This window comes from Homo sapiens, chromosome 7 (assembly GCF_000001405.40).
Source record: "Homo sapiens chromosome 7, GRCh38.p14 Primary Assembly".
Classification (NCBI taxonomy): domain Eukaryota; kingdom Metazoa; phylum Chordata; class Mammalia; order Primates; family Hominidae; genus Homo; species Homo sapiens.
Genome location: NC_000007.14, coordinates 30,749,485 through 30,765,145, shown reverse-complemented (window position 1 = coordinate 30,765,145; position 15,661 = coordinate 30,749,485). Strand labels below are relative to the sequence as shown.

The following is a 15,661-nucleotide window of genomic DNA, read 5'->3' as shown; positions in this document are numbered from 1 at the left end:
GTGTGGGTGGGCCTCATCCAATAAGTTGATTGCCTTAAAAGCAAAAGACTAAGGTTCCCCAAGGAAGAGAGTGTTCTGTCTTCAGCCTGCCTTTGGACTCAAGCTGCAATATCAACTCTTCCCTGGGTCTCCAACCTGCCAGCCTGCCTTGCAGGTTTCAGACTTGCCAGTCCCCACAATCATGTGAGCCAATTCCTTAAAATAAATCAAGGGAGGAAGAAGGTTGTCCCCAGAGAAAAAGAACTAGTTAGGTCACACAACACACACACACACACACACCCCTGGATAATATAAACCCAACCTACTTTGCTGCACACTTGCCCTGGAATGGCCCTGGAAATTCTTGATCAAAGCTCCTTGGATGCTGTCCAGATAAATGTGCCTTCTCTGGGGCCAAGCAGAGACTTTTGGCAGTTGCTTGACATTCTAATGTTTTCACCAGCAAGTACAGACCCCAAACCTTCAGACATAGCTGTCAGTGCCTCCCTGTGAAAAATTCCTGTTGAAATGGTGCAGACATTCTTTGGAAATCATAACATAGTCTCCTCCAAAGTAGGATTCGGCATAAAAATTCTAGTCTGAGTAAATGAATTGAAACTGCTCCCAAAGTGGTGAAGTCCTGTGTGAAGTCTGCTAGTTGCCCAACAGAATCCATTATTTCCTTCATGCATGGTTATATGTTTGGAGCTGGGCAAAAGACTTCCAAGCCACGTGGTATTTCCCAGCCTTTCTTGAAGTCAGAGGCAGCCATGGAACTAAGTTTGTCACCAGCAGAATAAGAGGGCCGGCACCTTAAAACCAGGCCCTATCTCTTTCATCCTCTTTTCTCTCCTGTAAGCCAGAGCACCAGCTGCAACAATGAGTATGTGCTGTGACCCTAAAGACGAAAGCAACACCTAAGAACAGTGATTCTCAAAAGTGTAGCTGCCCGCCAAACACCAGCATCAGCACCACTTGAAAACTAGAAATGCAAATTCTCAGTCCCTACATCAGATGTGCTGAATCAGAAACTCTGAGGGTGGGGCCCAGCAATCTGTGTTTATAAGACTTCCAGGTACTTCTGATGCTCACTCGAGTTTAAGTGTGCTATCCTGGGGGATGGCAGAAATAAGATAGAAGGAACCTGGTTCCCTGAATGACTGCATGGAGCATTCACATGGTGACACGGACTTCAGATGGTTACAGGTGAGAGAAATACACTTTCATCTGGTTTGAGCTTAGTGTTTTTATTTTTTTTAATTTTTTTTCTATTTTTGGAAGTGGGGATGAGGGAGTCTTTTGTTAAAGCAGCTTTTTTTTTCAACCTAAATACTATGAATCTCTAAGAATGAGTGAAAGCTCAATCAGTTGTGGGGCAGTGGTCTCTTTCTCCAGGGTTTGCTAGACCAGATATTCCCACAGGGATTGTCAGTACTGATGTATCACAAATTGATTATAGGGATGCTGGAGTCACAATCTCCTCAGGCCTCAGGACAGCTAAATGGAGCCTATCTGGCCAGATACCATAGGCCATTACTACCATGAACAGTCTTCTCCATTTATCTCAGGCTGTACAAATATGATTTTCTGTATGTGCCCTGGAGATGCCTCCTGCTGCTCACAATTTTTAATCTTCTGCCTCTTGCTCTCCCTCTCCCCTGGTTCTCTGACTTCTTAGTCTACAGCTCTTTACAAACCTGGCTCCCTTGCTCTGATGGTTCAATTGGAGCACCTTCCTCTAGGTTGGTTACCTGAATATTTGAACTCCATGCACTTGGGCTGATGGTTATAGGGATTTTTCCCTTCTACTTCAGTCTCTATGCAGAGACCATGATATATCCTCAGCTTTAAGGCAGGCCTTGAGGATAGTCACAGGGTTTCTTCTCTGTGACTATCCCAGGTTTCCTGGCTTGAGTCCTTCACAAAAACAAGGCTGTTTGGAGCAAGCAGCAACTAGTGCCTTCCCAGCTCAACTCTAGCTGAAGGGTGGCTGCTTTGTGAACCCCTTCCTGTCCCCGGCATGCCAAGTGCTGGGCCTCTAGGTCCAGAGCTGAAGGAGGCAGCCCCAGAGCCCTCATCCATTTCTTTTACTCCTATGCCTGATTATAATGGTTAGTACCCATTTCCATTCAGAGTGACAGAAAAACTCAAAATAAGAGTAACTTAGTAAGGAAGTACTCAAAAAAATAAGGGAATCATGTCAGAAGAACAAACCACCACCCAGCTTAAAAGGGGTCCTACTGGCTAAATCTGTATATCAGAGTAAGTTATGATAGTCACAGATTATAACCAACTGAATAAAATAAGAACCCATGAGTCCATGTTTATATATATATATAGATAGATATATATATAGATATATAGATAGATAGATAGATATATAGATATATATATAGATAGATATATATAGATATATATATAGATAGATATATAGATATATATATAGATAGATATATAGATAGATAGATAGATATAGATATATATATATATATATAGATATATAAAGGAGAAGGGAAAGCCTCTCCTTACATTTGAATGTGAACTCATAAATGTAGAAAGGATGATGGAATTTGCCAATCATCATTTGGCAACCAGGATAATGATAATAATTCATTCAGACAAGAATCATCAATGGATGCTAAAACTAGTGGATACAGGATATTTATGTCATCTCAAAGAATCTCTCCATAAGATACTGCTTAATTACAAAGGGGAAAATGTTCACTTTATGATGGAGAAGTTGGCCAACCCATTAACCAAGTGATCAAAGTTATCATCCCCAGCCAGAGGACTATCAATGTTACATACCTCCTTATGCACTGAAAGAGACACAACACCACTTCTCTGGCATTTCTGCCATAATAATAATAAGGGTAACAATAATATCAGTGACTTAAACAAGATGAAAGTCTATTTGTCTCTCACATAAAAACCCAGGGCTCATGAGTGCTTCACATTATTAGGTTCCCAGTTTCCCTCTGTCTTGTTTCTCCGCCATGTGTGGCCTTGACCTCCTAAACCAAGATGCCAGCAGCCACATTCCAGATCACAGGACAGGGTAAAGGATGAAGAGTAAATAGCAGAGTCTAGGTTTACGACATCTTAAGGAAGGCTTCCAGAAGCTGGTACGACACTTCTGCTCAAATCCCTTCGGTCAGAACTCACTCACTTGACCGCACAAAGCTACAAAGGGGACTAGGAAATATAGTCTTGTTTAAGGCAGCCTTGCCCAGCTAAATGGAGCCCAGCCAAAAAATCTATTACTCTGAAGAAGTTAATGGGCATAGTGGGCACGGGAGAACAACTAGCAATCTCTGGAACACTGGCGTTCTTTTGTTTCAAGATGTCATGTTTCTATACCTCTGGTTCTTTTTATTAGGATCTCAGTTCATGACACCCCACACGCTTATTGTACATATAACATGCCCACATGTGCAGGATCTCAGAACTCAAGTCCTGCAGTCCTTGATCTCCACACGAGCCTGGGCCTGTCTCACTTCTGTGCTTGTACACAACTGTATGTTTTTATAGCTTTTCCCGTAAGTAGAGGCAGTTGCCTACGAAAATTTCTCCATGACCTCTGTGCTGCCTAAGCTGAGATGACCAGAATGGCCAACTTTTGTTCCTTTCCTTTCTAGATAAGCAGTTAAAATGACTCTGGTAAACAACCATGTTCCCCAAGCTTGGGTTTTTTCAGAGTTCTAGGAAAAAGAATAAATGCAGGGTTTTTGAGACTAGAATGGAGTCGCAAGATAAGCAGCATTTCTCAGCAAGGAGTCAAGAATGCATTAGGATAAGATAAGCTGAACTTACAGGCAGAGGGCAAAAGAGCTGTTGGGGTTTCATCCTCCTCTTCCCCACCTCCCCCACAGACCCTTCAACCTCCAGCTCCACCCCCATAAGGATACGGGAGTTAGAAATAGGTCAGGAAGAGATTGGGAAATGTACGTCCTTTTGAGCCTATGAAATGCTTCTGCTGGCATCTCTCCAAGTCTGGCTTGGCCTTGCTACTTGATTCCTATGATGTGGTGGAGGTAGATAGGTAGGAAGTAGGGGGTACCACACAGATAATAAATCTCCTGTGTCTTCTGTTTTCAAATTCAGGTTACTTCAGGACCACAGGGGCCATGACTTAGGAGTGGAGATGGGTTTTTGTGTAATTAGCCGCAACACACAGGTGTTCCCTCTGCTGGGAATGGCTAGCCCTTTTCTCCATCAGCCATCAGTGAACTATTCACTCTTCACTCTCAGCTCACAGATCACCTCCATGGCTTCCTGGACTTCCCCCAAGCCTAGTTAGATGTTCTTCTGCACCCCTGTGAGATGACAGTGTGGGGTCCAGGTTAAGCTCAGGCTCTGGAATGACAGTGCTTGGGTTCATAAGCCCAGCTCTCTACTTAATAGCTACTTTGAGAAGGTCTGTGCCTCAGTTTCCTCACCTGTAAAATGGAATTTCAAAATAATACTGTCCACATGAGCTGTTGTGAGAATTCAGTGAGTTTTACCTGTGGCTGGCCTCATAACGGCATTATTCACAATAGCCCAAACACAAACACCACCAAGTGTCCATCAGTGGATGAATGGATAAACAAAATGTGGCATATCCATACGATGGTATATTATTCAACCTTGAAAAGGAAGGAAATTCTGACACAGTGCAGCACGGATGAACCTGAAGACATTATGCTAAGTGAAATAAGCCAGTCACAAATGGACAAATACTGTATGATTCCACTTATATGAGGTACTTAGGGTAGTCACATTCATAAAGACACAGTAGAATGGCGGTTGCTGGGGGCGAGGGGAAGGGAGACCAGGAGTTACTGTCTAACGGGTACAGAGTTTCACCGTTGCATGATGAAACAGTTCTGTGGACCAATGGTCATGACTTACAAGTCTGCCTCTCTGCCCCAAACAGAAGGTTCCTTCCTTTAGTCACAATAGGGTTTTCTTCCCTAAAGAGTCCTTCCCCCATAGTCTTGACAGCATATCACAGGTTCTGCCCATTGGATAGAGTAAAACAAAATGTTTTATTAGAGCATGTAGAGAGTACTTATGGACAAATGACAGAGCACAGCATAGTCCCTCAGTCCATCCCAGCCCCATTTCATAAGGTAGAACAGCTTCCACAGCCCCCAAAGATTCCCTCACACCCTTGCCCACTCTCTCCTTCCAGGCAGCCAGCTGACTCTCTGCACTGAGCCGTCCAAGGAGCAGAGCCCCGGGTCTGGATCCTGTGTCTTTTCCCTGTGTCTTGGCCAGATCGCTCGCTAAGGGAGGTCCTGACATCACAAGGAGGGGGCATTTGTAGCCTCCTTTCCTTGGCAATCTCCTCTCCTGGACATTGCCTGGCTGCCACCTGGCAGAAGCCAGCCCCTTTTTGGCTGCCTCAACAGACAATTCACTTGTCTTTAAAATTCCCTACAAGACCTATTTTAGCCACTATTCTTCCCCTGTTTGTGGACATGGGCTCTCAGGGATCCACATCGGCTGGACCTCCCACTTCTTCCGCCTGTTGATCATTCTGCCATGAGCATGTCTAAAACTACCCATATTCGGCAAGGCACAGTGGTTCACACCTGTAATCCCAGCACTTTGGGAGGCCAAGGCGGGCAAATCACCTGACGTCAGGAGTTCGAGACCAGCCTGGCCAACATGGTGAAACCCTTTCTCTACTAAAAATACAAAAATTAGCCAGGCATGGTGGTAGACGCCTGTAATTCCAGCTGCTCAGGAGGCTGAGGCAGGAGAATCACTTGTACCCAGGAGGCGGAGGTTGTAATGAGCCAAGAACATGCCATTGTATTTCAGTCTGGGCAACAAGAGCGAAACTAGGTCTCAAAAAAATAAAAATAAAAATAAAAATAAAACTACCCATATTCAATGCCTTTCCAGACAAGGCCGGAGAGGGCTGTACTGAGAGAAGAGCTGGGGTCCACATGCTCTCTGGGGTAAAGCATGAGCCCGGAAGGGAAGGACTGCTGGCAGGGATGTTATCACAGAAACGAGTCTATGCTAAAAGAGAGCCAAAGGGAAGCAGGGCCCCCTGCCCTTCCAAGCCGGGTGGGGAGACCTGGTGGAATGAGGGTACACAGGGTGAACGAGGAGTCAGAACGCCTGAGTTCTTACTCCAGCTCTGTCACCAGCTTGCTGTGTGTCTCTGGACAAGTCGCTTTCCCTCTTGGGACCTATCGTCCCTGACTACAAAAAAAATGGAGATTTGGCTGGGCATGGTGGCTCACGCCTGTAATCCCAGCACCTTGGGAGGCCGAAGAGGGAGGATCACTTGAGGTCAGAGGTTCAAGACCAGTGTGGCCAACATGGTGAAACCCTGTCTATACTGAAAATAAAAAAATTAGCTGAGTGTGGTGGTGCACGCCTGTAGTCCCAGCGACTTGGGAGGCTGCAGCAAGATAATCGCTTGAACGTGGGAAGCTGAGGTTGCAGTGAGCTGAGATTGCACCACTGCACTCCAGCCTGGGCGATAGAGTGTGACTCTGTCTCAAAACAAACAAACAAAAAACCCGGAGATTAGACTGGGTAATTTTGAAAGACCATCTCAGCCCTGACCCTCTGGGGGAATAACATCAATGGGTCAATTTGTGCAAAACCTTTTACTTTTTAAAGCACAAAAATTTGCTGGGCATGGTGGTGCATGCCTGTAATCCCAGCTACTCAGGAGGCTGAGGCAGGAGAATCACTTGAACCCAGGAGGCGGAGCTTGCAGTGAGCTGAGATCGCACCATTGCACGCCAGCTTGGGCAACAAGAGTGAAACTACACCTTAAAAAAAGCACTTTCACCATCCTGGCTAACACGGTGAAACCCCGTCTCTACTAAAAATACAAAAAATTAGCCGGGCGTGGTGACGGGCACCTGTAGTCCCAGCTACTGGGGAGGTTGAGGCAGGAGAATGGCCTGAACCCGGGAGGCGGAGCTTGCAGTGAGCCGAGATAACGCCACTGCACTCCAGCCTGGGCGACGGAGTGAGACTCTGCCTCAAAAAAAAAAGCACTTCCACATCAATGACTTCCTGCTGTTCTTAGGATGTTCCTGTAGATTATTAGATTAAATCTCATGGATAGGAATACGAGGCCCAGAGAAGTGAAACAATTAGTGGCAGGGCTGAGAGTAGATTCCAGGTCTCCTGGCTCTTATCAAGGTTGCTGTGCCCAGGGTGTACCCACACAAAGGCACAGATTGGGGCTGAGGGAAAAAGGGAGGCTGACAGGTGCTCAGTAGTGTGACCCAATCAGCCTTAAGGAAGGGACATCTTTCTCTAATTGGTCTGCCCAGAAGAGGCACCTTGTTCTCATAGCGCTTCCACAGGGAGATGGAACAGCTTTTCTCAATTAATCAGCCCTGAACACTCCTTTCTGCAATGTGTCCATCTGCAGGAGCACCTCTTCCTAATTTGCACAAAGGCACCTTATGTACGAGGAATACCCTTGATCCCTGGGCTGCTCCTCTTCTCACTTGGTGTCAGGTCCTGGGGTCCAGGTCCAGCCCGTGCTAAAGTCTGAGGGGAGTGGGTAGATGGACAGAAAGAACACTCAGGGCCCATAGGCAGGTGAATATGGTTTTATTCAGCAACAGCTCTCATCAACAGCTTACACTAGCTCTCTCACACTGTCCGCCCTGCCTTGGCTGCTTGAGCCCGTGGCTTCCACACACAGCTGTGCAGCCTGCTCTCCCTTGCCTTCAGGGTCAGCAGCTTAACTTTTTCTCTCTCTGGGCGTGAGCAAGCTGAGCTGTGTCCTGGCTCCTTCCTGTCCATCTGCAAAACGGACAGCTTTGGCTCTCTCTCTCTCTTACTGGGCGCCAGTGTGCCCACCATGTCAAGCCATGTTGAGCTGAGCCGAACCCCAAGAGCCCCTGTACAGCATTAGCAGGACAATTACCTTTTACAGACAACAGTGGCTCAGACCAAGTATGAACTTACACAAACAGGTTATATAACAAGTGGAGGTGTGTGCCTGTGCACCAAACCCACTGAGTCATGCAGGCATGGATCTCTGCCTTGGCCTATTCCTTGACCAAAGCACATCCATGTACCTTACACCTGGGTCTGAAGTAGGGTTGCCAGATGAAATACAGGACACCCAGCTAAATTTGAATTTCAGGTGAACAACAAATCATTGTTTAGATTAAGCATGTTCCATGCAGTTCTGGGGACATACTTAACCTTATAGATTTATTTCATTTATCTAAAATTCAATGAACTGGGGCAGTCTGTATTTGCTAAATCTGCTGACCTTAGTCTAGAGGCAGTGGTATGTTCCAGCTGACTCCAATCAGCTCATGAGAGTCAACTGTAAAATATTTAGGAGATTTATGAGCTGGTTATTAAACCACTGGTGGCTTGAAATCAACCATGGTGGGAGTATTTACACCACAGAAATTGGTGACTACCACACATCAGTGCTTTTCCTTTACAGAGCTGGTTATAGAACATTCCCCCTGGCTGGGTGCGGTGGCTCACGCCTGTAATCCCAGCACTTTGGGAGGCCAAGGTGGGTGGATCACCAGGTCAGGAGATCGAGACCATCCTGGCTAACACGGTGAAACCCCATCTCTACTAAAAATACAAAAATTAGCCGGGCATGGTGGCGCGTGCCTGTAGTCCCAGCTACACGGGAGGCTGAGGCAGGAGAATGGCGTGAACCCGGGAGGCGGAGCTTGCAGTGAGTCGAGATCGCGCCACTGCACTCCAGCCTGGGCGACAGAGCGAAACTCCGTCTCAAATAAAAAAAAAAAAAAAAAAATTAGCTGGGTGTGGTGGCGAGCTCCTGTAGTCCCAGCTACTCGGGAGGCTGAGGCAGGAGAATGGCGTCAACCCAGGACGCAGAGCTTGCAGTGAGCCGAGATCGTGCCATTGCACTCTAGCCTGGGTGACAGAGCCAGACTCCGTCTCAAAAAAAAAAAAAAAATTCCCCAATATACCACTGTCCAGAGGTTTCCTTGTCCTTAACATATTAGGTAGACTCAGAGGTTTCCTTGTCCTTAACATATTAGGTAGACTCTAAAACCACGTCCCTGGGTGCTCCACAGTCACACAGGAGTCAGATCGCATCTAAGATAGCTGTAAGGCTTAGTATATTAGAAAATGGAAAATTCCACTCCTAGGATCCTAGAATGAGGAATGTTGGAAACTTAGAATTCTAAAACAAGGATGTTAGAATCTCAGAATTTCAGAAGATGGAATGTTAGTGTTGAAATCAGAGACTGTTAGACAGTATCCATTCCTCACCCCTCTCTAGCATACAGATGGCCAAGGCCTCACAGCCTGACCAGACCTCTGGCTGGCCCTCCTGGCTCAGGGCCCAGGCTTCTTGCGAGCCACAATGAAGCAGACCCCATTGTTGGCAGCATTGGTGACAGAGTAGCTCTGGGGACTGTGTAGGAGCTGTTCAATGTCAAAGCCAGCATCCAGGACAGCCTGCTCCACCTCCTCTTTCTCCAGGGCCACGCAGGAAAATTCACGCTTCCCCACCATGTAGGACGGGAGCCGAAGCGTGACAGTGGTCACCAGGTGGCCACCCGGCTTGAGCAGTGAGGCAAGGTTGCACAGGGCAGCGCGGTAGGCATCAAGGCTACAGCAGGCACACTCCATGGCCAGCAGGGTGAGCACACAGTCGGCGAGAGGCAACACAGCCGGGGCCAGCGGGTTGCCCAGGTGGACATCGCACTTGAGCACCCGCTTCACCGCTGCCCGCAGCTTCTCCTCCTTCTCCTCCCATCGGCCGCTGCAGAGAGAGAGAGGGAGTCGGGGAGGCCCTTTGAGGTTCTGAAGGGAACTCTCAGTCCACTGTGACCAGCAGATGGAGATGATCTCTGGATCCCCAAAGGATTGCTGTCCCTGAGTCCCTGTGTGACCTGACAGCAGGCTCTTCTTCAATCTGAGCCTCAGTTTCTCCCAAAGAAAAATGGTTAGGGAGAATGGCTAGAACAATTATAGGAAACTTTCTCTCTCTGATTCCATGTGAGCCCCCTTCCCTTAATCCCCAGGATGGACAAAGCCACCCCAAGCACAGAGAGGGCAGTTAACAAACATTATTGGATGGATGGATGAATGAATTAATGAATTTACTACAGATAATGTATGAATATAGCTATCTTAAAAATATAATTTTGAGTGATGAAAAGCAAATCGCAAATGACACAGAGCAAATTACTCTGCTATAAAGCTCAAAGGCGACTAAAACTAAATTATAGATTGTTTAGATATACATAAGTATGCAAGAAAAAAATTTTTTGAAAAAGGGAATGATAAGCATAAAATCCATATTAGTGATTACCCGAGGTTGGGAAAGGCAGAGGCAAGGAGTCACAGAGAAGCACAGGTAAGTCTTTATTATATTCGAGTACTCAGGTTGGGTGGTGAGTTCACGTCATTATACATTATATAGTCAGTCACACAGGTACAGACAATAGAGGGAAGAAGGAAAGATGGATGGATGGGTGGGTGGGTGGATGAATGTGGATGGACATGGATGGATGGATGGATGGATGGATGGATGGATGGATGGATAGATGGATATGGATGGATGGGTGGATGGATTGATGGATGTATAGATGGATATGGATGGATGGGTGGATGGATGGATAGATGGATGGCTGGGCGGATGTATGTGGATGGATGGATGGATATGAATGGGTGGATGGATGGATGGATGGATGGATATGGATGGATGAATGGATGGGTGGGTGGATGGATGAATATTGATGGATGGATGAATGGACGGATGGATAGATGGATGGATAGGTGAACGGCTAGTTGGCTGGCTGGATGGATGGATGGATATGGATGGGTGGGTGGATGCATGAATATGGATGGATGGATGGATGGATGGATGAATGGATGAACCGGTGGGTGGACGGATGGATGGATATGCACGGATAGTTAGATACATAGAAGATAGAGAGGTAGATATATAGATGAGGGTAAGGAAGGAAGAGAAGAAGGAAGAGATGAAAATCATCTGGTTTTCAGTGTTCATACTTGACTATATCACACCTCAACATAGTCCTGTGATCAGAGTCTTGCCCCTAAAACTGCTGTAATCCTGAAACTTGGGATTCCATCTACTCTATCCCCACCACAGGACATCTGGTCCTATACCTGAAGGTCCTACTGTCCTGAAAATGTCAGAGACAACAAAGAGGCCAGGGAGACTTCTGAGAAAGAAGGTTGACTGGGAACCCCCTCCCCAACCTCTGCACCCCTACCTGTTTCCTTCCAGCTCACAGGCGAATTTCACCGCTGGGGTCCAGTCATAGGCCCCCGGCTCCTTCTTCAGCCACTTTTCCAGCTCCTCCCGGTTGCGGTCGGTAAAGTCGGAGAGAGTGATGTCTTGGAAGGAATCACAGGCAGCAAGAACTTGGTAGATGGTAGGACCTGAGCCAATGTCAATCAGCGTGTCCCCTTGGAGGCCTCCTGTGGGAGGGAAAGACTGGTAATGGATGGGTAAAAGAAACGAGACCCAAGGCAGACACAGGGATGAGGACACACACCCTGGTCTTACCCAAGGGGCAAACGTGCTTGGTGGTTATCACGGATTGGCAGCTCCCTGTAAGCCAAGCCTCATGCCAAATATTTTATATGTGTTAATTTCCATTTACACCTCAAAACTACCCTGTGTAGTGACTGCTATCACTATTTTCATTTTGCAGATTAGAAAACTGAGTCTGTAAAAGGTTAAACAATTAGCCCAATACCTTTCAGTCAAGAACATAAGCCAAGAGTATAATATTTCTGGGACAGAGAACAGAGGCCCAAGCCCTGCTCTGGGGAAGATTCGGGCTGGAGAGTTCAGAGAGGACATGCTGGGGTCAGTGGCCCTTTAAGTTTCAGGCTGACTGGGAGCTGGAAGCCTCCCCTGGAAGTCCAGCCCTTCCTGGATGGGTTTCTTGTTCCTTGGAGGAGGGAGGGGTGAAAGCATACAGGAATAGGAAGCCGGGGCTAAGGAGATGATCTGGGAAGATGGCCCCAGGAGTGAATCCAGGGTCACCTGGAAGCTGGAATGAAGCATGACTTCCAACATTCTGTCTGGAGCCCTGGCGTGGGGCCATCACTTGGCCTTCCAAGCTTGGTCACACCCAGTCCGGCTGTTCTCTGATTTCTGCCTCCCACACCGGCCTGCTCCTCCAGGCTCAGCAGCCTTTTAACCCCCTCTTATCCCACAGACCACCAGGAGACTCACCCTTACTGTTCCCCAGTCAAGTGCCTAAAGTGAGGACACGGCTGCTTGAGTTTAGAAGACACAATCAAATCATGGGGTCACCATGGGGAGGGCAGTGATCATCGGGAGACAGGCAGAAGTCACCATCCATCGTGCAGATGGCTCAGTTGAGGTCCTTGGGGTCTGAGCCCCTTGCTCAGGGTTGAGACCCCACCTAGCAATCCTTGTCCCAGGGCAGGGCTTTTCCAGGTCCTCATCACAGACACATCTAGGCTGCACACTCCGGGCACAGGCGATCCCGTCCCACTGCAACCCTGCTGTTTGCCCTTGGCCTTCTGGGGGCCCCAGAGGCCTGGCTGTGCAAGGTCAGGACTGAACTTGATGATGACCTGGAGAGCCTTTTCTGCTCCACCCCAAAGACCTAGGGGCTAATGGAGAGCAGTGTGGGAACTGCACGGGGCTGTGCTCTTCAGCTGGCACAGAGCTCCTGAGCCATGGGGAGACAGACTCAACCTCCAGCATAACAGCTGCCCAAAGAGAGGGGGCAGGGCCCCAGAAGCTCCCCCAGCCCATCCCCAAAAACCCCTAGAGGAGACCAGACTGCCCCCAGGACACCGTCTCCCCATCCCCATCCAGGTTCCTTGGAGAGAGGCTCAAGGGGAAGGGCCACCCTCTGCTCACCAGGGCCGAAGGTCTTGTGGAGACATTCCAAGTTAAACTTCAGCATCTCGGCCTCGGGTGAGGGGCTGCCATCGAAGCTGTAGTAAGTAGCCAAGTAGTCCCTGGGCAGGAAGTGCTTCTGGTACTCATCACCCCCAGTGAAGCCACCCTTCATGGTGTCCCTGAAATGTGCCCCCTCCTTGCTATCAGGTCTTATGAGGGCTCCAAGCTCTCCAGGCTCCACCCCCAGCATTCCAGCCTCATCCCATGGCTCCTCCCAAGTATGCCTTTCCTTGAGCTTCTCCTTCTAGGGGGATGCAGAAGGCAGTGCATGTCTCACCACCTCCCAGCCACACTGACACACCTGAGGTTTCCCCAACCCCAGAGCTATGACAGCTGGGGCTGCAGCCGCCCTGGCCCTGCTGCCTCTAGGGACCAACCCATGTCCGTCAAAGGCAATTGATGGTGCCCAGCCCTGGGTGCAACTCTCAGCCCTGGCAGCCACATGCTGCTCTGTGGCCTCCAAGTAGGTGTCAGACCTATGTTTCCCCACCTGCGTGCCCACTTCACTGACTGTAAGGACCAAAGTCACTCCTCTAAGTCACAGGTGTTGTGACCTGAGTGCACAGTGAGATCCCCATCTTGTCGCCTGGTGGTCACTGGGGCCCAGTGGCTCTCTCTAGGCCAGGCAGTGGGTGCAGCTTCATGCATCCCCCATCCCTGCTGGAGAACACAGTTCAGACCCCAGGAGGCAGAGCAGAATGGCTGACTTGGCATCACTGTGCAGGTCACTGGGAGAAGAGCAGAAATTGTCGTCAATCTCCATGAATGAGAACAAGGGCGCCCGGTCATAAAGCATAAACTGTCAGAGGGGTCCTGGCTTCCTGGCCACTGACTCACCTGGCTACTCCGGGTAAGACACTCCTGGCCTCAGTCTTCTCTTTGAAATGGGACTGGGTTGTAAAATCTCCCACAGACAGAAAAAAGCTCAGTCTCTGTTTTTGGCACTAGGAAATGGCTCTGACTTGGCCACAAACCGGACAGAAATGAATCCGCTACACTGGAGGTTCAGGCCTCTTGCCCTGAAAGTGGGAAGGACAGGAATGCCTTGTTCTGGCTTTAAGTAAACAAACAATTCTGAATCCACAGGGCCCAACAGATGGGTGATGCCACAGACGCAGGAACACCCAGCGGTCGTCAGGGCCTGGCTTCCAAGGGGCGGGTGCCTGGGCAGCCTCCAGGGAGGCCTGCGGCTGTCGTGCTGGCCTGCAAAAGGCATACAGAGCAGGCAGGAAACTGCAGGGCTCGCATTACATGATTGGAGGAGTGTGCAATAAAGGCACGGTGCTAACTAAGTTGTGGGCAGGGTGGAAGGAAGACATATGGTACCTCTATTAGTCAGGGTTCTTCAGAGAAAGAGAACCCAGCTTGTGTACACTGAGAGAATCAGATCTATTTTAAGTAATTGGCTTGTATAATTGTGGAGGCCAGTAAGTCCAAACTCTGAAGGGTGGGACCAGGAAAAGCCAATGTTGCAGTCCAAGTCCAAAGACCAGCTGCTGCCAGAATTCCCTCTTGCTCGGGGAAGGCCAGTCTTTTGTTCTACTTGGGCCATCAGCTGATTGGATGAGTCCCGCCCACATTATGGAGGGCGATCTTCTTTACTCAAAGTTTAAATGTGAATTTCATCCAAAAACACCCTTACACAAACAGCCAGGATCATGACTGACCACCTATTTGGGCACCATGACCTAGCCAAGTTGACTCATAGAAAGCACCATCACAGAACCTGAGGGCTAGCAGCATGGAGGAGCCATCATCCCAGTGAGACTGAGACAGAGCTGTGCAGAGAGGGCCTCCTGCAGCAGCCAATAGCAAAAGAGCTGATATGATTTGGCTGTGTCTTCACCCAAATCTTATCTTGAATTGTAGCTCCCACAATTCCCACATGTTGTGGGAGGGACCCGGTGGGAAGTAATTGAACCATTGGGGCAGGTCTTTCCCATGCTGTTCTCATGATACTGAATAAGTCTCTTGAAATCTGATCATTTTATAAGGGGGACTTTCCCTGCACAAGCTCTCTTTTTGCCTGCTGACATCCATGTAAGACATGACTTGCTCCTCCTTGCCTTCAGCCATGATTGTGAGGTCTCCCCAGCCATGTGGAACAGTGAGTCCATGAAACCTTTTTCCTGCATAAATTACCCAGTTTTGGTTATGTCCTTATTAGCAGTATGAAAACGGACTAATAGAGTAGCTAAAGAATAAATACCCAGACCTCCTTCTCCTACCTTCCTCCAATATCCTGCCAAATTTAGAGGGAAGGGAGTGGTGACTACAGTCCACATGTCAGCTTCCTGGCACTTGCAGTAGCCTGGAGAGGATGGAAAGCAGAATGGAGAGGCACATGGAAGACGCCCAGCATTAACACTTAAGGAGTTGAACCGTGGACATGCATGTACTATCCAGGGATTACCCAGAGCCCCTGCAGCAGGACGTGAGCATCTAGGGGGTCTGTACAGGGCGGGAAGAGACCATCCTTCCCAGAACTACACATCATGCTGCAACTGGATGTCCTTGGATGGATAGAGGATGCCCCTCCTAACGCAAGGCCTCCAGTGCCTCCTGCTGCCAGAGGAATGAATCCAAACTCCCCTTTGGCATTCAGAGTCTCTACCCTCTGGCTTCCACCTGCTTCTCCACCACTCAGGCCTTCTCCATCCCTACATGCCTCGTGACTCTGGCCTAACCAAGGGTCCTAACAGCACTATGGCAATCTTCTCAAAGTGAAGCCTCTTACGGATATATTCTAAGAATGAGTTTCTCAACCTCAGTACTATT

General features: G+C 48.5%; 1 protein-coding gene and 1 long non-coding RNA gene across 3 annotated transcripts in view; both read right to left on the bottom strand.

The window, feature by feature from the left end:
* Positions 1-13,011, bottom strand: part of INMT-MINDY4 (INMT-MINDY4 readthrough (NMD candidate)) — a 140,253-nt gene extending 127,242 nt beyond the window's left edge. The window contains exons 1-2 of the long non-coding RNA NR_037598.1: positions 12,842-13,011; positions 11,208-11,412 (exon numbers count right to left, since the gene is read on the bottom strand). This is a non-coding gene — a long non-coding RNA (INMT-MINDY4 readthrough (NMD candidate)). The remainder of the gene's footprint in view (positions 1-11,207; positions 11,413-12,841) is intronic.
* INMT (indolethylamine N-methyltransferase) lies at positions 7,544-13,011 on the bottom strand. 2 transcript variants are annotated; one of them, NM_006774.5, is made up of 3 exons: positions 12,842-13,011; positions 11,208-11,415; positions 7,544-9,724 (listed from the first exon to the last, which is right to left on the bottom strand). In NM_006774.5, exons 1-3 carry the CDS (start codon positions 12,993-12,995, stop codon positions 9,295-9,297), a joined length of 792 nt encoding a protein of 263 aa, NP_006765.4. In that variant the 5' UTR covers positions 12,996-13,011; the 3' UTR covers positions 7,544-9,294. The 2 variants fall into 2 exon arrangements, with proteins under 2 accessions (NP_006765.4, NP_001186148.1); NM_001199219.2 differs by having other exon boundaries at positions 11,208-11,412.